The 26,498-nt window shown below is 49.7% G+C and overlaps 1 protein-coding gene across 2 annotated transcripts, besides 6 other annotated features; it reads right to left on the bottom strand.

Moving 5' to 3' along the window:
• Positions 1,011 to 1,609: a transcriptional cis regulatory region, noted in NCBI's record as "candidate enhancer chr19.6329 targeted for multiplex CRISPR interference". NCBI's record gives its function as "positively regulates ZNF582 gene expression with high confidence in K562 cells {active_cell/tissue: K562}" and the evidence as "EXISTENCE:mutant phenotype evidence [ECO:0000015][PMID:30612741]".
• GALP (galanin like peptide) lies at positions 2,735 to 12,502 on the bottom strand. Of its 2 annotated transcripts, NM_033106.4 has the most exons (6): positions 12,448 to 12,502; positions 11,315 to 11,440; positions 7,876 to 7,924; positions 6,258 to 6,338; positions 5,298 to 5,375; positions 2,735 to 3,295 (listed from the first exon to the last, which is right to left on the bottom strand). In NM_033106.4, the coding sequence occupies exons 2-6, from the start codon at positions 11,399 to 11,401 to the stop codon at positions 3,240 to 3,242; spliced, it is 351 nt and encodes a 116-aa protein (NP_149097.1). In that variant the 5' UTR covers positions 11,402 to 11,440; positions 12,448 to 12,502; the 3' UTR covers positions 2,735 to 3,239. The 2 variants fall into 2 exon arrangements, with proteins under 2 accessions (NP_149097.1, NP_001139018.1); NM_001145546.2 differs by lacking the exon at positions 7,876 to 7,924.
• Positions 12,266 to 12,816: an enhancer, noted in NCBI's record as "H3K27ac-H3K4me1 hESC enhancer chr19:56687063-56687613 (GRCh37/hg19 assembly coordinates)". NCBI's record gives its function as "activates a minimal SCP1, AML or CMV promoter by ChIP-STARR-seq in naive H9 embryonic stem cells {active_cell/tissue: H9 hESC(naive)}" and the evidence as "EXISTENCE:reporter gene assay evidence [ECO:0000049][PMID:30033119]".
• Positions 12,817 to 13,367: an enhancer, noted in NCBI's record as "H3K4me1 hESC enhancer chr19:56686512-56687062 (GRCh37/hg19 assembly coordinates)". NCBI's record gives its function as "activates a minimal SCP1, AML or CMV promoter by ChIP-STARR-seq in naive H9 embryonic stem cells {active_cell/tissue: H9 hESC(naive)}" and the evidence as "EXISTENCE:reporter gene assay evidence [ECO:0000049][PMID:30033119]".
• Positions 16,418 to 16,547: an enhancer, noted in NCBI's record as "active region_15117". NCBI's record gives its function as "activates an Ori minimal core promoter by ATAC-STARR-seq in GM12878 lymphoblastoid cells {active_cell/tissue: GM12878}" and the evidence as "EXISTENCE:reporter gene assay evidence [ECO:0000049][PMID:35858748]".
• Positions 21,043 to 21,243: a silencer, noted in NCBI's record as "peak3570 fragment used in MPRA reporter construct". NCBI's record gives its function as "represses an SCP1 promoter by STARR-seq MPRAs in K562 erythroleukemia cells {active_cell/tissue: K562}" and the evidence as "EXISTENCE:reporter gene assay evidence [ECO:0000049][PMID:32103011]".
• Positions 25,966 to 26,065: an enhancer, noted in NCBI's record as "active region_15116". NCBI's record gives its function as "activates an Ori minimal core promoter by ATAC-STARR-seq in GM12878 lymphoblastoid cells {active_cell/tissue: GM12878}" and the evidence as "EXISTENCE:reporter gene assay evidence [ECO:0000049][PMID:35858748]".

The raw sequence follows: 26,498 nt of genomic DNA, 5'->3' as shown, positions 1-26,498 counted from the left end.
CGCGCCTGGCAATTTTTGTAGTAGAGATGTAGTAGAAATTTTTTTGATAGAGATGGGGTTTCACCATGTTGGCCAGGCTGGTCTTGAACTCCCGACTTCAAGTGATCTGCCCACCTTGGCCTCCCAAAGTGCTGGGATTACAAGCGTGAATCACCGTACTTGCCCAGTAAATTATTTTTTGATAAGAAAAAAGAATCCCATCACATAACACTGCTTCAAAACCTCACTGCAAAGCTGGGTGTGGTGGCTCACACCTATAATCCCGGGACTTTGGGAGGCCCAGGCAGGCGGATCACTTGAGCCCAGGAGTTAGAAACCAGCCTGGGCAACATGGCAAAACCCCATCTTTACTGAAAACACAAAAATTAGCTGGGTATGGCGGTGCATGTCTGTAGTCCCAGCTACTCAGCAGGCTCAGGTGGGAGAATCACTTGAACCCAGGAGGTCAAGGCTGCAGTGAGCCAAGATCTCCCAACTGCACTCCAGCCCAGGCAATAGAGTGAGACCCTGTCTAAAAAAAAATCTCACTGCAGCCTCTCGTATTAACTTAATCACTTTAAGTGATTGCTTCTCCCAGGGACGTGAGTCTCCAGCAGGGCGAGAACTCATCTGCTTTCTGCCTCCTTGAATCCCCGACATTTGACTCTGTATAATTATTATTTTTATTATTATTATTTTTTTAGTCTGAGTCTCGTTCTATCACCCAGGCTGGATGGGGTGCAGTGGCACAATCTCAGCTCACTGTAGCCTCTGCCTCCTGGGTTCAAGCAATTTTCACGTCTCAAGCCTCCGAGTAGCTGGGATTACAGGCACCTGACACCACACCCAGCAAATTTTGTATTTTTAGTAGAGATGGGGTTTCACCATGTTGGCCAGGCTGGTCTCGAACTCCTGACCTCAAGTGATCCTCCCGCCTCGACCTCCCAAACTGCTGGGATTACAGGCGTGAGCCACCATGCCATGAATAGTAATTAATTAATATTAATTACTTATTAATTATTTATTGTAATTTATTGTAATAATTATAATTAATTACAATATTAATGAATAAGTATTAACAATATTAATACTTATTCATTATGCGAAGAAAAACCTCAGGATTCCCCAAACTCCTTATGCAAAAGGAGAGGTCAGCCTGGTGGCTGAGTCAGGCAGCGCCCTCTTCCAATTGGACAGCAGTTGCTGGCATTTGGCATCAGCCAGATCCCCACGGAAAGGGAAGAGGCCCCGGGCATCCACGAATGCCCCCGCAAATCATTCATAAGGAAATTCTTTGCTGACTTCCCATAAACAAGAACTCACCCTTTGTAACTTCAGGTCTACAATGTAAGTCTAGCTCCTAAAACTCAGGTCTGTTTTATTCCACACTGACAATGTCCATTACTAGCTTATCTTCTGAGGCGTGGAACAAAGATAAGATGAGCTCAGTCATTCCTCCACCTACCCAAAGATGTCTAAGTAATTGGTGCTTCCTTTACTCCCTTTACGCCCTTTTTTGCCTTCAAACATGCACTTTATCTTATGTAAAACGTTGCACTTTGGGAGCCCAAGGCGGGCGGATCACTTGAGGTCGGAAGTTCAAGACCAGCCTGGCCAAAGTGGTGAAACCCTGTCTCTACTAAAAATACAAAAATTCACCGGCCATGGTGGAAGGCGCCTGTAATCCCAGCTACTCAGGAGGCTGAGGCAAGAGAATTGCTTGAACCCGGGAGGCAGAGGTTGCAGTGAGCTGAGATTGCGCCACTGTACTCCAGCCTGGGTGACAGGGTAAGACTCTGTCTCCAAAAAAATAAAAATAAAAACATAGGCCGGGCACAGTGGCTCATGCCTGTAATCCCAGCACTTTGGGAGGCCGAGGCAGGCAGATCACGAGGTCAGGAGATCGAGGCCACCCTGGCTAACACGGTGAGACCCCGTCTCTACTAAAAATACAAAAAATTAGCCAGGCATGTTGTCGGGTGCCTGTAGTCCCAGCTACTCGGGAGGCTGAGACAGGAGAATGGTGTGAACCCGAGAGGCGGAGCTTGCAGTGAGCCGATATCACGCCACTGCATTCCAGCCTGGGCGACAGAGCGAGACTCCGTCTCAAAAAAAAAAAAAAAATTAAAATAAATAAATAAATAAAAAATAGAAACATATATTTTTTTTAAATGTAGATTTACTGGGCACTAACTAAAGACTGATAGGAATTTAACCATTCAGCTCACCACCTACCCACCCCTCTGCCTCTATGCCTGCCCCCGTCTAAGGAAATGTATAAATAGTAAATATCCTGAAAACTTCAGAAAAACAGCCACAGAGGTGTCTGTGGCTCACCTTTCCCTGGACGTGCCCCACAGCCGATTTCATAAACCTCGATGGATGGAGACTGACAGTGTCTCAGTCACTCATTTTGGTCATTAATTACTTTGAGTCTCACTTTGTTGCCCAGGCTGGAGTGCAATGGCACAATCTCGGCTCGCTGCAACCTCTGCCTCCCGGGTTCAAGCGATTCCCCTGCCTCAGTGTAACACTGTGGTTTCTTTTTCCTGTGACTCCTCAAACCCAAAATGAAAGTAAAACTTTCAGCAAAACAATAATCCAAAATGGATTGCCTCCAATAGGTTATATTTTCCCCAGTCCCTCACCTGATTCTGTCATCCTGGATTTCCCAGTCCCACACCTGACCCCATCATCCTGGATTCTGCTACCCCTAAAAAAATTCCCAGACTAATTAAAAGGGAAAAAATGGAGTGTTTGACAAGAAACATTTTATTCTCTCCATTCTGCTCCAAACTGCCTCTCCTCACTTCTCGAGGAGACTCATGTGGGTTGAAAGAATATGGAGGAGTAAGTACGCAATTTGAAGAATCTTTTCAAATAAAGACACAGACTCTCAGACTTAAGAGGGTTATTTGTATTATGCAATAGCTCGTGTTATAATTGGGATGATTCCAAAAGAACACAATTCCTTTAAATGTGTTGCAGGAATATTCCCTGATTACCCCAGAATCTCCCAACTAGTCCTCGAATTACTATTGGTTCCATTAATAGCACATTATACTGATTTCAAGGATGAATCAATAAAACCTAAGAAACTCCAGAAATTTTTTAGAATAATTCAAATGCTTTACAATGTCTTCATGAGACCTGGGTATTTAACTTCAGGATCTTAGTCTCAGCATAGGGTACCTAGAAAAGGTTTCAGAGGGAGCAGGAGGAGCTGGAGAAGAAGGATAGGAACAGGGATTTGAAGACATCTATGACTTCAGGACATCTTCCTCCTTGGGAATTTTCATGCTGAGCATGCCCAGATCTGTGGGAAAGAAAGAGGTAAACTTTGAATGGTTTTTCTCACTATCACTCCCCACCCAGCTAATTTTTGTATGTTTAGTAGAGATTGGGTTTCACCATGTTGGCCAGGCTGGTCTTGAACTCCTGACCTCAGGTGATCTGCCCACCTCAGCCTCCCAAAGTGCTGGGATTACAGGCGTGAGCCACCGTGCCTGGCCCCTTCTCTCTACTTTCATCTGCCCACATATTCTCCCTTTCCGCCCACATTTTAAGAAGGCACATGGTGATGGTGGGTGTTTTCAAGAGTCAGAATGTAATCGAGGTGAGGATGGAAATTAGTGAATTCAGGGAGCGTATCATACCCAGTATTGTCCAGTACATGCTTTTGAAATGAATTAGTGCTGTTGAAATAAGGACATGGCGTCTCCAGGAATTGAGTTAGGATTGAAGAAGGAGCTGGGCGCAGTGGCTCATGCCTGTAATCCCAGCACTTGGGGAGGCCGAGGCAGGCAGATCACGAGGTCAGGAGATCGAGACCATCCTGGCTAACATGGTGAAACCCCGTCTCTACTAAAAATACAAAAAATTAGCCAGGCGTGGTGGTGGGCACCTGTAGTCCCAGCTACTCAGGAGGCTGAGGCAGGAGAATGGCGAGAACCCAGGAGGCAGAGCTTGCAGTGAGCCGAGATCGCGCCACTGCACTCCAGCCTGGGAGACAGAGCGAGACTCCGTCTCAAAAAAAAAAAAAAAAAGAAAAAGAAAAGAAAAAAAAGGATTGAAGAAGGAGATGGGGTTGGGGCGAACATCCAACTAAAGGAAGGTGGGACAAGCTGGGGTTTGGGCATCTGCTGAGCTCATGATTGGGTGGGAAGGTGGCAGCTGAAGGCTGTGTTTGGATAGTTTAATTCATTCATTTAACAAATATTTACCAAGTACCTACTATGCGTCATGCATTGTGCTAGGCAGTGAACAATACAACGGTCCCTGGCGTGGTGGCTCATGCCTGTAATCCTAGCACTTTGGGAGGCCAAGGCGGGCAGATCACCTGAGATCAGGAGTTGGATACCAGCCTGGCTAACATGGCAAAACCCCGTCTCTACTAAAAATACCAAAATTAGCCGGATGTGGTGGCGGGCGCCTGTAATCCCAGCTACTCAGAAGGCTGAGGCAGGAGAATCGCTTGAATGCAGGAGGCAGAGGTTGCAGTGAGCCAAGATCACACCACTTCACGCCAGCCTGGGCAATAGAGAGGGACTCCTTAAGAAAAAAAAAAATAGAATGAATGCTGGAAATAAAGATCTTATTTAGGAGAGAGGTTGATGTTAAAATTGAACCATGAGGCCAGGCGCAGTGGCTCACGCCTGTAATCCCAACACTTTGGGAGGCCGAGGCAGGTGGATTACCTGAAGTCAGGAGTTCAGGACCAGCCTGGCCAACATGGTGAAACCCCGTCTCTACTAAAAATACAAAAATTAGCCGGACATGGTGGCGCGTGCCTGTAATCCCAGCTACTCGGGAGGCTGAGGCAGAAGAATCGCTTGAACACGGAAGGTGGAGGTTGCAGTCAGCCAAGATCGCACCATTGCACTCCAACCTGGGCGACAAGAGCAAAACTTCATCCCCAAAAAATAAATAAATAAATGAAATTGAACCATGAGGTCAAAGTGAGAGGTTTGACGTCAATGTTGTAGCTGAGGCTAAGCTTGAGGGAGTGATACTGGGGGAGATCAAGGTTGGGTGTGGGGTCCTAATTGCAAAAGTGCTAGATTCAGGCTGGGAAATGAGAGTTGGAACATGAGGTGGGATTCGCAGTGAAGGAATCGAGGTGAAGGGAGCAGTCGAGGCCAGGATGGGGATTCACAGTCGAGGCTGAGTGGTCGGGGTAGTGGCTGTGGTTACAGGTGAGGAGGTCCCTGGTTGGTTCCAGTTTCCTTCCTTTCTTCCTTTACCCTCTAAGCTCTGCCTGCCACTTCCTTGTTCCCCCTCTCCTGTCGGTGTCTCTCTTCTGTGTTTCCTGGCTTTACCTCCAATCTCTGGTTTGGCAAACGTCTCCATCACATTCCTCTTGGAGGGCTGTGGAGGGTGGGAGTAGGGGAGCCCGTCTAGAAACAAAAATACAACATTCACACACACGTTCGTAGTTACAAGTGGGAGCTAAACGATGAGAACACACAGACACAAAGACGGGAGCAAGAGACACTGGGTCCTTCCCGAGGGTGGAGCAGGGGGAGGAGGGAGAGGAGCAGAGAGAATAACCACTGGGTACTCGGCTTAGTACCTGGGTGATGAAGTAGTCTGTACAACAAACGCCCGTGACACAAGTTTTCCTATATAACAAACCTGCACATGTACCCCCAAACCTAAAATAAAAGTTTAAAAAATAAATAAGGCCGGGCGCGACGGCTCATCCCAGCACTTTGGGAGACTGATGGGGGCAGATCTCCTGAGGTCAGGAATTCAAGACCAGCCTGGCCAACATGGTGAAACCCCATCTCTACTAAAAATGCAAAATTTGCTGGGTGTGGTGTCAGGTGCCTGTAATCCCAGCTACTCGGAGGCTTGAGTATGGATGACAGGCGTGAGCCACCATGCCCAGCCAAACCATTCCATTTCTACCATATGCCAGACACTTCTAGGAAATTAACGTGCATTTTCTCACTGAGTCATACAACTAAATCATGGGATTATTCCATTTATGTCATTTCAAAGTGGAGGGATTCTGTGAGGTCTGATGCAGAGAAAACACGGGGCCCATGGTTCAAACAGGATTCGGAATTTCACGTTGGTAACAAAAGAACATTAAAGCAAGCTGGGGCTCCAGGTGACGGCCCAGAAGCTTGAAGGAAACGCATCACTTGCCCAGGGCCCCCCAAATAGTAAGCGGCAGGGTGAGGGCTGGAGCTCACATCTACCAGTTTCCAAAGCCAGGAGAGAGCCCGCAGGGGAGGACGCAGGAGAAGACGTCTAACTCCCCGCTCACTCACCGATGGCCTTCCACAGGTCTAGGATCTCAAGGGCTGTCTCCCTCTTTCCGTCTTGGTCACCCATTTGGGGAAGGTGGAGGACTGGGTAGGGAGGGAGAGAGCAAGAGCAGGTGGTCGGTTAAGTAGAACTGAAGAAACACATCGTCCATCAATTCAACAGCATGGCTCACCGGACGCAGCGCCTCCACCAAGTCTGTCGGACGGGGTGCGTGTTGACCGTCCCTACCTACCGGTGGGGAAATCGTGCAGCTGCAAGCGGTCACTTGCTCGAAATTACCCTGCTGCTAATGGCAGGACTGGGGCTTGAACCCACCTAGGTCTGGGTCCACATCTCACGTTCTTTCTGCTCCTGCCACACTGTCTCTGCAGCCTGGGTTTCCCTGAATGAAGCTCAAACTGAAACCAACCTTGAGCACCACGGGAATCTCGGTATTTTATGGATGTAATGCTCACTATGCAGCACGTGGCCATGGGCACACCTATTGCCCAGGGAAGATGCAACTGGAGAAATGGGGAGAGACAAATGGAGGAAAAGAGAAAAAAGTTGCCAGGAGCAGTGGCTCACGCCTATAATCCCAGCAGTTTGGGAGGCTGAGGCGGGCGGATCACCTGAGGTTGGGAGTTCAAGACCAGTCTGACCAACATGGAGAAACCCCGTCTCCACTAAAAATACAAAATTAGCCGGTGGGGCATTGTGGTGCATGCGTGTAATCCCAGCTACTTGGGAGGATGAGGCAGGAGAATTGCTTGAATCCGGGAAGCAGAGGTTGCTGTGAGCCAAGATTGGCGCCACTGCACTCCAGCCTAGATAACAAGGCGAAACTCCATCTCAAAAAAAAAAAAAAAAAAAAAAAAAAGGAGAGAGAGAGACAAAGAATAGCAGCTAATCATTATACAGCACCCACTACACACCAGCTATTGTTCTATTAATAACTCAATCCTCACAACATTCTCGGATGTAAGGGCCATCATTACACCCACTGTCACAGATGAGGAAACTGAGGCATAGGGAGATCAAGGTTGCAGCCAGGTGTGGTGGCTCATGCCTGTAATCCCAGCATTTTGGGAGGCCAAAAGTAAGTGGATCACCTGAGGTCAGGAGTTCGAGACCAGACTGGCCAACATGGTGAAACCCCATCTCTACTAAAAATGCAAAAATTAGCCGGGCGTGCTGTTGGGCACCTATAATCCCAGCTACTCAGGAGGCTGAGGGAGGAGAATCGCTTAAACTACTCGGGCGGCGGAGGTTGCAGTGAGCTGAGATCGCACCATTCACCATTGCACTCCAGCCTGGGCAACAGAGCGAGACTCTGTCAAAAAAAAAAAAAAAAAAAAAAGAAAGAAAGAAAGAAAGAAAGAAAGAGTGAGAGAGCGAGAGAGAGAGAGATCAAGGTTGCAAACCAAGCAAGGGGCAGAGCTGGGATTTGGGCCCAAGGCTCTGGCTCCAGAGTCCACACACCCATCGCTCTGCTTAGACTAACCCTCCAGACAGATCTGCAAATAAATCCATGGGCCTCAGTGAATGTGGGTGAGGGTCTTTACAAGCCACAAACTCACTGCCTGCAGCAACCAGGCAGACTCGGGCCAGGGATGGAGAGCTGAGCGCAGCCTCACTCACCGGGACCCAGAAGGTAGCCAGCACTATTGAGGGTCCAGCCTCCTCGTCCCTGGATAGAGATGCAGAAATCAAGACTCAAGCAGACAGAAAGCGGGGCAGGCGTCCCACAGGTCCGGGGTGATGTGGGTCGTCATACGACTTTCCCACTGGCCTGTGGAGCAGGTTCATTTCAATCCCCATTGCACCGATGAGGAAATTGAGGACTTCCTGAGACAAAGCCAACTGGCCTGGAAAGAAAGCTTAAAGCGTTCTGTTGTGAGAGGAGAAAGGTGGTTATTGGGGGCTGGGGGGAAGGAGAAATGGGGAATTGTTCTTCAACAGGTATAATTTCAGTTATGCAGGATGAAGAAGTCCTAGAGCTCTATGGCACAACATCGTGCCCACAGCCAGCAATACGGTGTTGCACACTTTAAAGATATGTTAAGCCTGGGGGTGGTGCTCATGCTGTAATCCCAGCATTTGGGGAGGCCGAAGCAGAAGGATGGCTTGAGAACAGGAGTTCAAGGCCAGCCTGGCCAACATGGCGAAATCTCGCCTCTACAAAAAATACAAAAATTAGGCCGGGCGTGGTGGCTCTCGCCTGTAATCTCAGCACTTTGGGAGGCTGAGGTGGGCGGATCACCTGAGGTCAGGAGTTCAAGACCAGCCTGGCCAACCTCGTCTCTACTAAAAATAAAAAAAATTAGCTGGGCATAATCCCAGCTACTTGGGAGGCTGAGGCAGGAGAACCGCTTGAACCTGGGAGGTGGAGATTGCAGTGAGCGGGGATTGCACCACTGCGCTCCAGCCTGGGCAACAGAGTGAGACTCCGTCTCAATAAAACAAAACAAAACAAAAAATACAAAAATTAGCCAGGCATGGTGGCGCACACCTGTAGGTGGGAGGATCACTTTAGCCCAGGAGTTTGAGGCTACAGTGAGCTATGATCTCATCCCTGCACTCCAGCCTGGGTGACAGAGCGAGACTCTGTCTCAAAGAAAAAAAAAAAAAAAAAGAGAGGCTCTTCCTCCAACAACCCTAGTAGGTAAACTTGCTATTAGCTTCATTAGAAAGAGGCTCTTGGCCAAGGCTGGCGGATCACGAGGTCAGGAGATCGAGACCATCCTGGCTAACACGTGAAACCCCATCTCTACTAAAAATACAAAATATATATATATATAATAGCCGGGCGTGGTGGCGGGTGCCTGTAGTCCCAGCTACTCGGGAGGCTGAGGCACGAGAATGGCGTGAACCTGGGAGGCAGAGCTTGCAGTGAGCTGACATTGCGCCACTGCACTCTAGCCTGGGCCACAGAGCGAAATTCCGTCTCAAAAAAAAAAAAAGAAAGAAAGAGGCTCTTGAGGCCCAGAAAGATTCTGCAAATTGCAACAAATTGCAACACACTAAGAAGAACAGCTGGGACTCAAACCCAGGTGGATCCCAGACTCTTTATTTATTTATTTATTTATTTTGAGATGGAGTCTCGCGTCTCACTCTGCCACCCAGGCTGAAGCGCAGTGGTGCCATCTTGGCTCACCGCAACCTCCGCCTCCTGGATTCAAGCGATTCTCCTGCCTCAGCCTCCTGAGCAGCTGGGCTTACAGGCACCTGCCACAAGGCCCAGCTAATTTTTGTATTTTTAATAGAGACAGGGGGTTTCGCCATGTTGGCCAAGCTGGTCTCAAACTCCTGACCTCAGGTGATCCGCCCTCCTCGGCCTCCCAAAGTGCTGGGATTGCAGGCGTGAGCCACCGTGCCCGGCCGGTAGATTCCAGACTCTTAAGGAGGATGTGCACTGAATATTTAAGCCAGAGTGTTCCACTGTGTAAGGTGGGAAGTAGCAAAATAGAACCAACTGCAAAGGATTGTGGGGTAGAATTAGCTAATTCACATCACGGGTTTCACACAACGCCAAGCGCTGAGAAAACCCTCCACAGCCATTAGCTCTTGTCAAAACTCCTCGAACATCCCTATAGGATGGATTCCGTTATCCCTTAGTTATATAGAAAAAAAGGAGGCTCAAAGAAACAAATAGCTTGCCAAAGACCAAGCCAGAACCTGGAGGAGAGCTGCTATCCCAACTCAGGGCAGCTGAATGCCAAGCCGGCGTCTCTTTTTTTTTTTTTTTTTTTTTGTTGTTGTTGTTAGCATTTCTTTTCTTTTTCTTTTCTTTTCTTGTTTTTGTTTTTGTTTGAGATGGGTTATTGCTCTTTCGCCCAGGCTGGAGTGCACTGGCACCATCTCAGCTCATTGCAAACTCAGCCTCCTGGGTTCAAGCAATTCTCATGCCTCAGCCTCCCAAGTAGCTCGGACTACAGTCACGCAAGACCATACCTAGTTAATTTTTTTTTTTTAAGAGATGGAGGTTCTCACTATGTTGCCCAGGCTGGTCTCGAACTCCTGAGCTCAAGCAATTCTCTAATCTTGGCCTCTCAAAGTACTGGGATTACAGGAGTGAGCCACTGGGACTGGCCTCTTTTTTTTTTTTTTGTTAGAAAAAAACTGCATTTTAAATGCAGGCGTGGTGCACAACACGTGTGGAAATACGGCTACACTGCGGAGTGACTCCATCAAGGTAATTACCCTCTACATTACGTCATGTGCTTAGCTTTTTTGTGGTGAGAACACCTAACATCCATCTACTCTCTTAGCAATTTTCAAGTATACAACACATTGTTATGAACAACAGCCACCATGCTGTACCAGAGATCTAGTTTATTTCCCCTGTCTAACTGAAACTGTGTATCCCTGGACCAACATCTCTTAATTATTTAATCCTCTTGGCTAAATAATGAGAGCTGCCTGCCATCCGAGTTAACTGTTAACTCTCACAGTGCTGGAATTGGACAAAGAAGATCCACTCAGAGACCAGAGAGGTTAGGCAATGTGACTGAAGTCACACAGCTAGAAAGTCGCAGATCCCGGATTTCAAACTCAACCCAGCCTCTACAGCCCATGCTGTGGAGGTGTGTGATCAAAGGTTTTCAAAGTGTCGTCCCAGACTGGGTGCCGTGGCTGACACCTGTGATCCCAGTACTTTGGGAGGCCAAGGCGGGTGGATCACTTGAAGCCAGGAGGTCAGGAGTTCAAGACCAGCCTAGCCAACATGGTGAAACCCCATTTCTTCTTTTTTTTTTTTTTTTTTGAGATGGAGTCTCGCTCTGTCACCCAGGCTGGAGTGCAGTGGCACAATCTCGGCTCGCTGCAACCTCCGCCTGCCAGGTTCAAGCGATTCTCCTGCCTCAGCCTCCTGAGTAGCTGGGACTACAGGCACGTGCCACCATGCCCGGCTAATTTTTGTGTTTTTAGTAGAGACACGCAATATTTCTTCTCATATTTTCAGGATTTGAGCTTCTTCCCCAGGACCCTTGACACAAGCCAGAAGCATTTTTAAAAACTCTTCCCAGAGGGCAGGGATTTGGGGACACTGTTGTTTCCGAGGAACTTAGGGAGGCGTTACCCGGTGGGCAGGTGCGGATGCTGGAGTCTCTGCCAGGCTCAGCAAGAGGACGAGGAGGAGGACCAGGGGGACGGAGGGAGGAGCCATCGAAGGCAGGACGACAGGTGCCTACAGCTGCGGAACACGCTGCAAGGAGAGAGCGGCCAGTCATTTTCCGAAGCGGGGGCCAGGTGCATTTCCGATAAGGACAGAGGAATTTATTTTTTAGCTTTATGGAGGCATCATCGAGATACAAAAATGGCGCACATTTAATGTACACATCTTGAGGAGTTTGGACGTGTGCAAGCAATTAAGCCTCTCCTTCCCCCATCATCGGATCAGGCCGACCTGGTCCCCCAGCGCCCATGCCTTCTGCCCCACTGCCTCCACCACTCCATCTTCAAACCTTTCCGTCCCCTTACCTGCCCCTCACCTTTTCCCTGCCACCAATGCTGGGGTTTCTCCTGTTATCCCCATCCCTTCAAGCCCCCCATCACTCTCCCAGGAGCCCCTCACTCCCTCCACCCCTCTGCCCTCCTGGCCTAGGCTCTCACCCCAGTGCAGCTTGGATCCACCCCTCTGCCCTCCTGGCCTAGGCTCTCACCCCGGTGCAGCTGGCATCCACCCCTCTGCCCTCCTGGCCTAGGCTCTCACCCCGCTGCAGCTGGCATCCGCCCCTCTGCCCTCCTGGCCTAGGCTCTCACCCCCGTGCAGCTGGGATCCGCCCCTCTGCCCTCCTGGCCTAGGCTCTCACCCCGCTGCAGCTGGCATCCGCCCCTCTGCCCTCCTGGCCTAGGCTCTCACCCCGGTGCAGCTGGGATCCGCCCCTCTGCCCTCCTGGCCTAGGCTCTCACCCCGGTGCAGCTGGGATCCGCCCCTCTGCCCTCCTGGCCTAGGCTCTCACCCCGGTGCAGCTGGGATCCGCCCCTCTGCCCTCCTGGCCTAGGCTCTCACCCCGCTGCAGCTGGCATCCGCCCCTGTGCCCTCCTGGCCTAGGCTCTCACCCCGCTGCAGCTGGCATCCGCCCCTCTGCCCTCCTGGCCTAGGCTCTCACCCCGCTGCAGCTGGCAGCCGACCCTGTGCCCTCCTGGCCTAGGCTCTCACCCCGGTGCAGCTGGGATCCGCCCCTCTGCCCTCCTGGCCTAGGCTCTCACCCCGCTGCAGCTGGCAGCTCTCCGCAGCTCTCTCTGGCTCCTCGCTCCAGCGCCTGGACTCTTTCACGCCCCCTGAGCTTTTATGCCTTCTGAGGAGACAATAGAAGGGAGGGGGGAAAGGGAGGGGATTAGAAGAAGGGAGAGGGAGTGAAGAGGATGGAGGTGGGGGAACAGTCATCCACTCCAGGGGCTTTCAAACGCTGGTCTGTGAGGTCAAAACACACACTTCATCGCGGGAAATGCTGCTGTGCCTTGGTTTCCCCTGGTAGACCCTGCCCTTCCCCCTCCTTCTGTGCCCCTTTATCTTCCAGCTGTCCTGTTCCAGACTTTGCAGCTATTCGAGGGCTCCCTCCCTCCCTCTTATCTGCGTCTGGGCCTTGACCTGTGTCTTCCTTGGTTGTCTCCACCTGCCACTGGTGTCTCCGTAGCCCTGTCCCCTCTGCCCCCATCAATCCCTCCAAGCCTCCGCAGCTCCCTCACTGAGTTGCATTTCTTCTGTCTTGCACGGTAGACCCTGTTTATTTGTTTACTTGTGAGCTGTCTATCTCCCCGCCCCCCACCTACCACCCTGGCTAAAGGAGACCCCATGAGGGGTGTCAACTGTGTCTTGTTCATGGCTGCGTCCCTAGGCCGGAAGCTCTCAACCAGGAGTGACTCTGCCCCGATGCTGCCCCAGCCTCACCCCAGGACATGTGACCAAGTCTGGAGACAGTTTTGTTTGTTCGTTTTTTTTGTTTTTGTTTTGAGACGGAGTCTCGCACTGTCGCCCAGGCTGGAGTGCAGTGCTGTGATCTCGGCTCACTACAAGCTGTGCCTCCCGGGTTCACGCCATTCTCCTGCCTCAGCCTCCCGAGTAGCTGGGACGACAGGCGCCCGCCACCACGCCCGGCTAATTTTTTGTATTTTTAGTAGAGACAGACGGAGTTTTACTATGTTGGCCAGGCTAGTCTTGAACTCCTGACCTCGTGATCTTCCCGCCTCAGCCTCTCAAAGTGCTGGGATTACAGGCGTGAGCCACCGCGCCCGGCTGGAGACATCTTTACTTGGGACTTGGGAGGGACTCCCGGCATCTCGTGGGTGGAAGCCAGGGACGCGGCTCAGCCTCCCACAGTGCTCAGGAAAGGCCTCCCCGATGGGAAGGACCCAGCCCCGAAAGTCAATAGCTCCAAAGATGAGAAACCTCACAGCAGCCCCTAAAACAGTGCCCGGAGCTCACTCAATACTTGTTGGGTGAACGAATAAGGAGTGTGTCGTTGCTGCGTCTCTCTCCTGTCATGTGTGTTGATCTATCTGTCTCTGCAGCACGCTCTCTCTTTGCCCTGACGTCACCTGCTTTCCAGAGGAAAGAACCTTGGAAGAGGTTTTACTCTTGCTGTTGCCCTTTGCTGTCTAAGGGACAGAGGGGACGCCCTGGTCCTGGCTGGGTTCTGTCTCCTCCTCTCCACCGTGGAGGACACATTGCCTCCAAGGTCCTTCCAGCATTCTGTCGGTTTGTGGCTGGCACTTGTATCTCTGTCCTGTCTTTACACATCCCCATCAGCCCTTACCCCATCCTTTCTCATCCCAAGGGGAAAGGGAGACCCCAGGAGAGGGATGGAGTGAGAAGACGACGTGGGGGATTACAGACACCCTGGTGGGCTCCTGAGCCCCCTCCGCTGTTTCTCCAAGTCCCTCACTTCTCATCCAGAGGATGACAACAACGAGGAGGAGGAGGAGGAGGAGGAGGAGGAGTGGGCAGGGGAGGAGGAGGAGGGGGAAGCTTTTATAGAAGACAAACTGACAAGAAGGTGTGAATGGCTTTGCTGGGAAGGAGAAAGGAGGAGGGAGTGACGCCCACTGCACGGGAGACAGGACTGAGGAGGCGACGCTGAGAGCTTGAAGCTGGGTTACCTGGAGCCCAATGGAGGGTCAGAGAAACAGTGGGAAGTCCTTGCCTCACTGCCCATTAGCTAGTTTGTGAAAAGTAAACGGGGTAGGTCCAAAGCTTGCTCTATCTCTCTTACACACACACACACACACACACACACACACACACACGCAAAACTCAAATGTGGTGCAAGAAATGTCACAATGTCACTTTCTTCTCATTTCTTTCTTTTTTTTTTTTTTATTGAGATGGAGTCTCACTCCGTCACCCAGGCTGGAGTGCAGTGGCACAATCTCTTGTCACTGTAGCCTCCACCTCCTGGGTTCAAGCAATACTCCTGCCTCAGCCTCCCCAGTAGCTAGGACTACAGGTGTGTGCCACCAAGCCTGGCTAATTTTGTATTTTTAGTAGAGATGGGGTTTCACCATGTTGTTCAGACTGGTCTCGAATTCCTGACCTCAGGTGATTTGCCCTCCTCGGCCTCCCAAAATGCTGGTATTACAGGTGTGAGCCACCTCACCCGGCCATCTTTCTTCTCATTTCTGTAACTGAGTCTGTGTCCCTCTTAGTAAATGCAAGCTACAGACACGAGCACCCTTTCCTTCAGAGGACGCTGCAGTTTCTGACCCAGCATCCACCTGGCTCTGGCTGGAGATGAATCTGGCTGGCTTTTAGTTAAATGCCTGCAGCTCCTCCAGGCGCCCCACATGCCATGAGGGTGTGGACTCTATGCCTGGCCTAGGGGTGAGAAGGAGACTGGGATCTGAACAGATCCTTCCCTCTCTCTTTCCTTCAGTGTGGGTAGGTACCTTGGCGCCCACATGTACCAGGTTCCTGTGTACAATCCATTCCAGCCAGGGAGAGTAGAAAAGACATTTGCTGGGGAACTTCTGAAAAGAAACTAAAAACAAAGCTTCCTTGCTCTTTTATTTATTTGTTTATTTTTAAGATGGAGTCTCACTGCAACCTCTGCCTCCCAGGTTCAAGCGATACTCCTGCCTCAGCCTCCCAAGTAGCTGGAACTACAGGCGTGTGCCGCCACATCCAGCTGATTTTTGTATTTTTAGTAGAGACACGGTTTCACCATGTTAGCCAGACTGGTCTGGAACTACTGACCTCAAGCGATCCTCCCACCTTGGCCTCCCAAAGTTCTGGGATTACAGGCATGAGCCACCGTGCCTGGCCTCCTTGTTCTTTTTAAACTTATTTTTTCCCCTTGGAGTTTCCTTTCAATTTTTTTACTTTTTGTTTTTATTTATTTTAAAAATTTATTCTTTTTTTTTTTTTTTTTGAGACAGGGTCCTGTTCTGCCACCCAGTCTGGAGTGCAGTGGCACAATCATAACTCACTGCAGCCTCGACCTCCTGGGCTCAAGCAATCCTCCCACCTCAGCCTCCCGAGTAACTGGTACTGCCGGCATGTGCCACCACAACCGGTTAATTTTTGTTTTTCTGTTTGTTTATAGAGATCGAGTCTTGCTATGTTTCCCAGGCTGGTCTAGAACTCCTGGACTCAAGTGATCTTCCTGTCGAGACCTCCCAAAGTACTAGGATTACAGGCATGAGCCACCGCACCTGGCCCTTAATTTTTTTTTTTTTTTTTGAGACGGAGTCTTGCTCAGCTGCCCAGGCGGGAGTGCAGTGGTGTGATCTCAGCTCACTGCAACCTCCACCTCCCGGGTTCAAACGATTTTCCCGTCTCACCCTCCCGAGTAGCTGGGATTACAGGCACCCACCATCATGGCCGGCTAATTTTTATATTTTAGTAGAGACAGGGTTTCACCATGTTGGTCAGGCTGGTCTTGAACTCCTGACCTCAGGTGATCCTCCAGCTTCGGCCTCCCAAAATGCTGGGATTACAGGTGTGAGCCACTGCGCCCAACCCTTAATTTTTTTTTTAATTTTGAAGTAATTTCAGACTTACAGGAAAGTTGCCCAAAGAATTCCCAGATACTCTGATTTTCCAAATGCTTACATTTCACCACATTTCATTTCTCTGGTCTGTCTCCCGCTTCCCCTCTCCCTTTGCCCCCATTCCTTCTCCCCCTCCTCTCTCTTCCTCCCTTCCTGGATGTTGTGGGAGAAGCCTGAAGTCGGGGAGCCGCTATGTCTTCTGTCGCCAGGAGGGGGCGTAAAGCCCAGGCCGCAGCTGAGCCCCAGGCATTGGGAAACACCGGGAGCTGGGCCTGGGAGCCTGGCGGCCCCCACCTCTGCGCTTCCTGCTCCCTGCCACACTTAAGCCATTTGAGTTAGATTTATTTTCAAAACCACATTATTGAGGTATAATTGGTGTACCAAAAACGCACGTAATGTTACCATGTGACGAGTGTGGACACAAACGTCCCTGACACCATCACCACATCCCACAGTTTCCTTGTGGTTGTGTTTTTCTAATTTGTTATTTAAAAAATGTTTGTGATAGGCCAGACACGGTGGCTCACGCCTGTAACCCCAGCACTTTGGGAGGCCAAGGCGAGTGGACCACCTGAGGTCAGGAGTTCAAGACCAGCCTGGCCAACATGGTGAAGCCCCGTCTCTACTAAAAATACAAAAATTAGCTGGGCGTGGTGGTGTGCACCTGTAATCCCAGCTACTTGGGAGGCTGAGGCAGAAGAATCGCTTGAACCCAGGAGGTGGAGATTGCAGTGAGCCGAGATCATGCCACTGCATTCCAGCCTGGGTGACAGAGCGAGACTCCATCTCAAAAGTAAAAATAAAATAAAAACAAAGTTTTGCTTTTACCAGAATGTTATACAAACTGGATCCTACAGTGTGCAGCCTTTTCAGTCTGACTTCTTTTACTTAGTGCATGAGATTCATCCACGCTGTGGTGTGTGTCAACAGTTCACTCCTTTTTAGTGCCATTCCTACAAATTTCTGACGAATCCTTTAGGTTTAAGTCCTAGAAGAAAAGCAACTCAGTCAAAAGGTATAACCATTCTGGGATTCTTTTTTTTTTTTTTTTTTTCAGACGGAGTCTTGCTCTGTTCCCTAGGCTGGAGTACAATGGTACAATCTCAGCTCACTGCAACCTCTGCCTCCCAGGTTCAAGCAATTCTCCTGCCTCAGCCTCCTGAGTAGCTGGGATTACAGGCACCTGCCACCATGCCCAGCTAATTTGTTTGTATTTTAGTAGAGATGGGGTTTCACCATGTTGGCCAGGCTGGTCTTGAACTCCTGACCTCAGGTGATGCACCTGCCTCGGCCTCTCAAAATGCTGGGATTACAGGTGTGAGCCACCACGCCCAGCCTCTGGGATTCTTAGTATACACATCCAGATTGCCTTTCGACAATCACATACCAGTTTTCAGTCCCACCAGCACCACAGAAAGATTCCCATTTTACTTGAGAAAGTTACATTTTTTAGGGAAAGTTCATGGGAGGGGCTGGAAAAGACCTAAGTATTGGTCATGTGCTAGAAACACCTAACTGAATTATTGAACAAGAGGGGTTGCATTCTTAGCTTTTCAAAGAGGCATGGGTGGGTGAGGCTGAAAATCCCACTATTGGAAAGATTCAGATGTGGAAGCGGCCACAGGACGGGAATCTGCAGTCAGGAAGAGAAGTGTCAGCGTTCTCTCCCAGGAGCATTTCTGTGCAGAGTCAAGGTGAGTCAGAGTGAAGGGGAGCCAACGCAATGTCCAAAGCTGAGAGCTGCATGTGAAATACATCATCGATGCTGACGCTGCATTCACAGGAGTGGTTCAAGTGGGGGCACGTGGAGAGGAGAGGGCTGACTCATGGCGGGAGCTAACCAGGGCGGAAGGACATCCTGGAGTTTGGCCCATGACAACGGTGGGGAGGAGATGAAATAAGCAGGTGCCTTCGCCTTCCAAAGGTCCCGGACATCCAGTTACAAAAACAAGAGTGCAGAAGCAGCCAGCAGCCTCCCGTGACCTTGAATCAGAAGGAAAGCGGGAAACAGTGTACACCGGAGGCGCCCAGGTGGGAAATGACATGCTCTCCCATGTTGGTGGGCTGAGTTGTGTCTTTCTGGCTTTTGTTTTTTCTTTCTTCTTCTTCTCTTTTTTTTTTTTTCTTGAGACACAGTTTCACTCTGTTGCCCAGGCTGGGAGTGCAATGGCTGGATCTCGGCTCACTGCAACACCTGCCTCCCGAGTTCAAGTAATTCTCCTGCCTCGGCCTCCCGAGTAGCTGGGACTACAGGCACCCACCACCACGCCTGGCTAATTGTGTGTGTGTGTGTGTAATAGAGACAGGGTTTTTCACCATGTTAGCCAGGATGGTCTTGATCTCCTGACCTCATGATCCGTCTGCCTCGGCCTCCCAAAGTGCTGGCATTACAGGCATGAGCCACCGCGCCCAGCCTGAGTTGTATCTTTATGGCTTTTGTTTTTTCTTTTTCTTTTTTTTTTTTCTTTTTTTGAGACACAGTTTCACACTGTCGCCCAGGCTGGGAGTGCAGTGGCTCGATCTCGGCTCACTGCAACCCCCACCTCCCAGGTTCAAGCGATTCCTGTGCCTCAGCCTCCCGAGTAGCTGGGATAACAGGTGTGCACCACCACGCCTGGCTAATTTTTGTATTTTTAGTAGAGACAGGCTTTCACCATGGTGACCATGCTGGTCTCAAACTCCTGACCTCAGGTGATCCGCCAGCCTTGGCCTCCCAAAGTGCTGGGATTACAGGTGTGAGCCACTGTGCCCAGCTGGCTTTTGTTTTTTCTTTTTTTTTTTTTTGAGATGGAGTCTCACTCTTTCTCCTAGGCTGGACTGCAGTGGCACGATCTCAACTCACTGCAAGTTCTGCTTCCCGGGTTCACGCCATTCTCCTGCCTCAGCCTCCTGAGTAGCTGGGACTACTGGTGCCCGCCACGGCGCCCGGCTAATTTTTTTTTGTATTTCTAGTAGAGACGGGGTTTCACCGTGTTAGCCAGGATGGTCTTGATTTCCTGACCTCGTGATCCACCTGCCTCGGCCTCCCAAAGTGCTGGGATTACAGGTGTGAGCCACCGTGCCCAGCTGGCTTTTGTTTTTTCTGTAGGTGCACAGATGATATTAGTTAAATTGAAAAGCAGGTAGAATGTTGACAAGAGTGGGAAAAGAGAGTGCATTCTGCCATTGTCTCTGCCTGGAATGTTCTTGCCAGCTACGTGTGGATGACTTCCTATCCTCTTCTCAGGGACATTTATTATGACCACCATTTAAAAATATGTCTATTTACTTATTTATGTATTTGCTTATTTTTTTCTTAAAATTTTTTTAAATTTACAAATACAAATTGAATCTATTTATGGCATACAGCATAATGTTTTGATCTATGTATACACTGTAAAATTATTAAATTGGGCTAATTAACACATCCACCAGCTCGTAGACATCGTTTTGTACTGAAAGCATTTAAAATCTACTCTCATGGGGTGCAGAGGCTCATACCTGTAATCCCAGTACTTTGGGAGGCCGAGGCGTGGGATCACTTGAGGTCAGGAGTTCGGGACTAGCCTGCTCAACATGGCGAACCCTCATCTCTACTAAAAATAAAAAAAATTAACCGGGCATGGTGGCACATCTGTAATTCCAGCTACTTGGGAGGCTGAGGCAGGAGAATAGCTTGAACCCAGGAGGCGGAGGTTGCAGTGAGCCGAGATCATGCCACAGCACTCCAGCCTGGGCAACAGAGTGAGACTCCGTCGCAAAAAAAAAAAAAAAAAAAAAAGAACCTGCAACACAGTAGGTTTGGAAAAAATGAAAAGTAAAATAAAATGAGCTCCATGGAAAGTTGGAGTAGGATGTTGATGTAACTGTGGGAGGCTGCATCTTTCTTAATAACTCTGGGTATCATAATGGTTTGAGGAAGGGCTACAGCATGGAGGTGTTTTTCGGTGTTCAGATGTCAATGGGCATATCTTCCTAAATAGACACATTTTACCCCTTGTGAGCTAGGCAGGCTTTAAAAATCCATGCCCACATTCTGTGTCATCCAGCAGTTCGCCATTCATAAAAAACAGCCAGGTGCAGTGGTCCACACCTGTAATCCCAGCACTTTGGGAGTTCAAGGCAGGCAAATTGCCTGAGCTCAGGAGTTTGAGACCAGCCTTGGCAACCTAGCGAGACCCCATGTACAAAAAAATACAAAAATTAGTTGTGTGTAGTGACATGTGCCCGTAGTCCCAGCTACTCCAGAGGCTGAGGTGGGAGGATCGCTTGAGCCTGGGAGGTTGAGGCTACAGTGAGCCTTGATGCCACCACTGCACTCCAGTCTGGGAGACAGAGGGAGATCCTGTCTCAGAAAAACAAAAACAAAAAACTCCTAAGATGTCAAAATGTAAACCTATATTTGTCTTTGCATCTCACCAAAGAATTCCCCATCTATACACTAAACGAAACAATGAAAAGTGGGAGGGGATAGTCCTTGTGCAAGTTAAAAGCAATCCGTACAGGGCCGGGCGCGGCGGCTCACGCCTGTAATCCCAGCACTTTGGGAGGCCGAGGCGGGCGGATCAAGAGGTCAGGAGTTCGAGACCAGCCTGGCCAACATGGTGAAACCCTGTCTCTACTAAAAATACAAAAATTAGCCGGGCATGGTGGCACAAACCTGTAATCCCAGCTACTCAGGAGGCTGAGGCAGGAGAATCGCTTGAACCAGGGAGACAGAGGTTGCAGTGAGCCAAGATCTCACCATTGCACTCCAGCCTGAGCGACAGAGAAAGACTCTATCTCAAAACAAAACAAAACAAAAAAAACGTGTACAAAAGCTTTATTTCTCTTCCCCACCTGAGATGGGAGGTCAGCACTGGGGGCGGGGAAGTCTGCACCTTTCTTTCCCCTAACTCAGCTTGGAGGAAATGTCTCTGTCCATTGTGCTGAATATTCCATCGTCTCCCTGGATCAGTTCTTCCTTACCATGAACCCAAATTAAGGGGTTACAGTTAACCCTCTAAAGGACATGGGTATGCTGTTGCTTAAGGTTGGGTATTTAGTTAGGATTAAGACCCCGGGCCAGGCGTGGTGGCTCATGTCTTTAACCCCAGCACTTTCAGAGGCCAAGGCGGGAGGATCACTTGAGGTCAGGAGTTCAAGACCAGCCTGGCCAACATGGTGAGACCCTGTCTCTACTAAAAATATAAAAATTAGCTGGGAATGGTGGTGGATGCCTGTAATTCCAGCTGCTCAGGAGGCTGAGGCAGGAGAATTGCTTGAAACTGGAAGGCAGAGGTTGTAGGGAGCTGAGGTTGTACCATTGAACTCCAACCTGGGGGACAGAGCAAGACTTCATCTAAAAAAAAAAAAAAGCCCCACACATTTCCTGCCCATAATTCCAAAGGTCAGTGTTGCTCCAACCTCAGCCTCCCTGCCAGCCATTTCTACCACTTCATCCCCCAGAGAGGAGGGGTTGGGGACTCATCTTCACTCAATGCCAACTCTCAGAGCAATGAGGAAACAACCTCACATTTCACTGGCCCGCTATGGGGCTGCAGGGAATTCACTACAGACTTCTGGGCCTCCATCTCCTCTTTGGTAAACTGAGGAACCAGCTCAGAACTTGCAAACGGGCAGCCAAAACCAGACCCTCAGACGTGCTTTGGGTTTGTTTGTTTGCATTATGATTTTTGTTTGTTTTGGTTCCTTCATATTGTAGCTCACACAGTGCTTGCTTGCTTGCTTTATTTATTTATTTATTTTATTTTATTTTTATTGAGATGGGGTCTCGCTCTGTTGCTCAGGCTGGAGTGCGGTGGCACTATCTTGGTTCACTGCAGCCTTGACTGCCCAGGCTCAAACAATCCTCCAACCTCAGCCTCCTGGGTAGCTGGGACTACAGGCGTGTGCTTGCCACACTGGGCTAAACTTCCACACAGTGTTTTGAAAATTGCAAATCGAATCACGAGCATATAGGGTTTCAAAACTTTTACATAAAGATCTAGATTTCTGTGTTTTTCTATTTGTTTGTTTGTTTGTTTTCTGAGACAGAGTCACTGTCATTCAAGTAACTGTAGTGTAATGGCGCGATCTCGGCTCACTGCAACCTCTGCCTCCCAGGTTCAAGCGATTCTCCCGCCTCAGCCTCCCAAGTAGCTGGGGATTGCAGGCATGTACCACCACACCTGGCTAATTTTGTGTTTTTAGTAGAGATGGGGTTTCTCCACGTTGGTCAGGCTGGTCTCGAACTCCCAGTCTCAGATGATCCATCCACCTCAGCCTCCCAAAGTGCTGGGATTACAGGTGTGAGCCACCTCACCCAGCCAATGTCAGCTTTTTAAAATAAAATAAAATAAATGCCTGCATTTGTACTGTTAGCCAATTCCCATAGTGTAAATATTCCATTAGGGCCAATTTCAACATACCAACAGTTTAACAACTGGCTCACCACTGCCCCCCCAAAATCGTGAATATTTAATGATTTTTTGGGGTTTTTTTTTATTGTTTTTTTTTGAGACAGAGTCTGGCTGTGTTGCCCGGGCTGGAGTGCAGTGGCGTGATCTTGGCTCACTGTAATCTCAGCTTCCCGGTTCAAGTGATTCTCCTGCCTCAGCCTCCCGAGTAGCTGGGATTACAGGCGCCCGCCACCATGCCCGGCTAATTTTTGTATTTCTAGTAAAGACAGGGTTTCACCATGTTTGTTAGGCTGGTCTAGAGCTCTTGATCTCAAGTGACCTGCCCCCCTTGGCCTCCCAAAGTGCTGGGATTACAGGCGTGAGCCAATACGCCCGGAACTTTTCTTTTTTTTCTTTTTCTTTTCTTTTCTTTTTTTTTGAGATGGAGTCTTGCTGTGTGTCACCCAAGCCTGGAGTGTAGTGGTGCCATCTTGGCTCACAGCAACCTCCGCCTCCCGGGTTCAAGCCATTCTCCTGCCTCGGCCTTCTTAGTAGCTGAGACTACAGTTGAGCACCACCACACCAGCTAATTTTTGTATTTTTAGTAGATATGAGGTTTTACCATGTTGGCCTGGCTGGCCTCAAACTCCTGACCTCAAGTGATCAGCCTGCAGCGGCCTCCTAAGCACTGGGATTACAGGCGTGAGCATGACTTGTGGACTCCCCCCATTTAGCCCTCACTGTAACCCCCATGTTATGGATTGAATGTTAGAGTCCCCTGAAGATTCATATGATGAAAACTAATACCCAACGTGAGAATATTAAGAGGTAGCGTGTCTGTTGAGCAGTCTAGGGATGGATGGATGGATGGACAGATGGAGATATAACGATAGATAGATAGATAGATAGATAGATAGATAGATAGATAGACAATAGATAGTAAATAGGTAGGACTTTTGGGACATGATCACATCATGAGGGCTTCATCCTTGTGAATGGGATTCATGCCCTTATTTTATTTATTTTTTATTTATTTTTTTTTTGAGATGGAGTTTTGCTCTTGTGTTCACTAGGCAAATGCAGGAAGAAAGAACAACATTTTATTAATATGTGGAGCCAATGGCCTGTGCAAAAGTCCTGTAGTGGGGTGGAGGAAGGAAGGGCTGAAGGAACTGGGTGATGAGCTGGACCTGGAATGCAGACTAACTGGGGAGGGTGGAGGGTACGAGGTAGACAGGGACCACCCCATCAGGAAACTTCTAGTTGTTTTTTTTTTTTTTTTTTGAGACAGGATCTCACTCTATCGCCCAGGTTGGAGTGCAGTGGTGCAATCTTGGCTCACTGCAACCTCCACCTCCCGGGTTCAAGCGATTCTCCTGACTCAAGCCTCCTGAGCAGCTGGGATTACAGACATGTGCCACCACACCCAGCTAACTTTTATGGATTGGGGACCCAGTTAGCAATCACCTGTGAGAGAGACCAGGACTGGAGCGGCTTGGACCAGGATACTCCTATCATCGACCTCCTCCCACAGCAAGGAAGAAGCAGAGTTGAGGTTTGAACCTGGTGTATGGAACCCCAGAGCCGGAACCCTTTAGCAGGGGAGAGGAAGGGGTGAGGGGAGGGGCAGTCACCCAGGGAAATTGAGTAGAATTAACTAACCCCTGCTGGGTCCTGGCAGAGCCCCTGGTGCCAGGGCCCCCAGGAGAGGAAGCAGAAAAAAAAATCACCTCATGCCACCAGCAGGTTCTTAAAACAATCTCACCCCTCAAGCAATAAAGACGGAAGCAAGAAAGTCAAGGCCAGCATCCAAAACCACAATTCAGATGTTCTCTGGTCTGTGGTATTGGGGTTGATGGATAAAGATCGTAGATGTGATAGTGTCCAACAGACATGGTGGGTATCAGTCACAGGACAGCCCTCATGGCACCTGCTCCATCAGAGTGGATATTGGTGGGGAGAGCTGTTGGGTTTATTTCCTTACTATTCTTTCCTTTTTTTTTTTTTTTTTTTTGAGACGGAGTCTCGCTCTTTCATCCAGGCTGGAGTGCAGTGGTGCGATCTCAGCTCACTGCAACCTCCACCTCCCAGGTTCAAGCCATCTTCCTGCCTCAGCCTCCCAAGTAGCTGGGATTACAGGTGCTCGCCACCACACCCGGCTAATTTTTGTATTTTTTTTTTAGTAGAGAAGGGGTTTCACCATGTTAACCAGGATGGTCTCGAGCTCCTGACCTCAAGTGATGCACCCACCTCGGCCTCCCAAAGTGCTGGGATTACAGTGCCCGGCCCAGGCAGGACTATTTTTAAGACAATTGAGCATGATTTTAGAAGGCTGCACAATTGACATTTTGCCTACTTCCACGTTTCGGTACTTTTCCTGAACAATGTTTCTTCGTTCCCCCTCTCCTAGTAACGGACATTTACGTTGCTCTGATTCTCTGCCATCCCAAGCAGCACCATGAGGAACAGCGCTATGCAGGACCTTCTGCGGATGCACCTGTGCCAGTCTGTCTGGCTGGGGCCTGCACACTCCGAGAAAGGACTGTGCACTCTGAGGAAGGACTGCGCAGTCTGAGGAAGGGCTGAGCACTCTTGTGGAAGTACCGCCCACTCTGAGGAAGGACCGTGCACTCTGAGGAAGGACTGCGCAGTCTGAGGAAAGGCTGCGCACTCTCGTGGAAGTACCGCCCACTCTGAGGAAGGACTGCTAGGTTGTCTCTCTGGAAAGTTTTCTGTTGCCCATGCGGAGAATATTCAAGTTTTGTTTCGGCCTTCCAGAATTTCCCTCCTGTTTGGGGGGGATCATCCTCCACTCCGTTATACAGCCTCGGAGGCAGACACCACTCGTCATCGGATGTCAAACCAAAGCTCCCCCAGGCTTAGCAGGTGTGGGTGCAGGAGGGTGCGGGAGTCAGATCTCCATCTATCTGGTCTCGCCTTGTTTCTAGTCCTTTGCAGGGGTGTTCTTCCAGCATCCTCCAATCCATCCGGGACTGTCCATCTTGAGTGACACAAAAGAGTGGGGCAGGACAGCCTGGCCGACTGTCCCTCCGAGACCAGACACGGGGTGTGTGTGTGTGTGTGTGTGTGTGTGTGTGTGTGTTGGAGGGGTCCCCAAAGGGGCACAGAAGTCCCGGGAGGCTTTTCAGAAGAGAAGAGATGGAGCCTGAATGGGCAAAAGCAGCAGCTGTGCTGTTAGGAGCTGGAGTGAATACTGTGAGCCCAGACACCTGGGATGAGATCCACAGATGTGGCCCGGTCCCTTACTCTTTTGGTGCCTCAGTTTCCCCATCTGTACCATGGGGATAACAACAGTGCATGCCTCATCGGTTGGTTATGATGATAAACAAACTGGATTTTAAAAAGGTCTGGCCCAGCAGACTCACTCTGTGTTTGCTGTTATCAGAACCCTGTCCTCAGACCCTGGCCTGACACCACCTCATACTCCCTCTCATGCCTCTTAGTCACTTCCTGAAAGTCTGCAGCAGACGACACGGCTTCTCCCAGCCCGTCTTCTTCCCCACACGGTGGGCATGGTAACGTCCTTAACATGCACCTGTCAGTGTGAAAGCAGCAGGCTGAGATCACACACCAAGTTCCCGTAAGTATTCTGCATTCATTACCTTATTTTTCTTTTGAGACGAAGTCTCGCTCTGTTGCCCAGGCTGGAGTAGGGCAGTGGTGCGATCTCAGCTCACTGCAACCTCTGCCTCCTGGGTTCAAGTGATCCTCCCACCTCAGCCTCCGGAGTAGCTGGGATTACAGGTGTCCACCATCATGCCTGGCTAATTTTTGTGTTTTCAGTAGAGTCGGGGTTTCAGCATGTTAGCCGAGCTGGTCTTGAACTCCTGAGCTCAAGTGATCCACCCACCCGAGCCTCCTAAAGTGTTGCGATTACAGGTATGAGCCACT

Source organism: Homo sapiens, chromosome 19 (assembly GCF_000001405.40).
Source record: "Homo sapiens chromosome 19, GRCh38.p14 Primary Assembly".
NCBI classification, from domain to species: domain Eukaryota; kingdom Metazoa; phylum Chordata; class Mammalia; order Primates; family Hominidae; genus Homo; species Homo sapiens.
The sequence above is the reverse complement of the archived record's forward strand: the minus strand, read 5'-3'. Positions and strand labels throughout refer to the sequence as shown.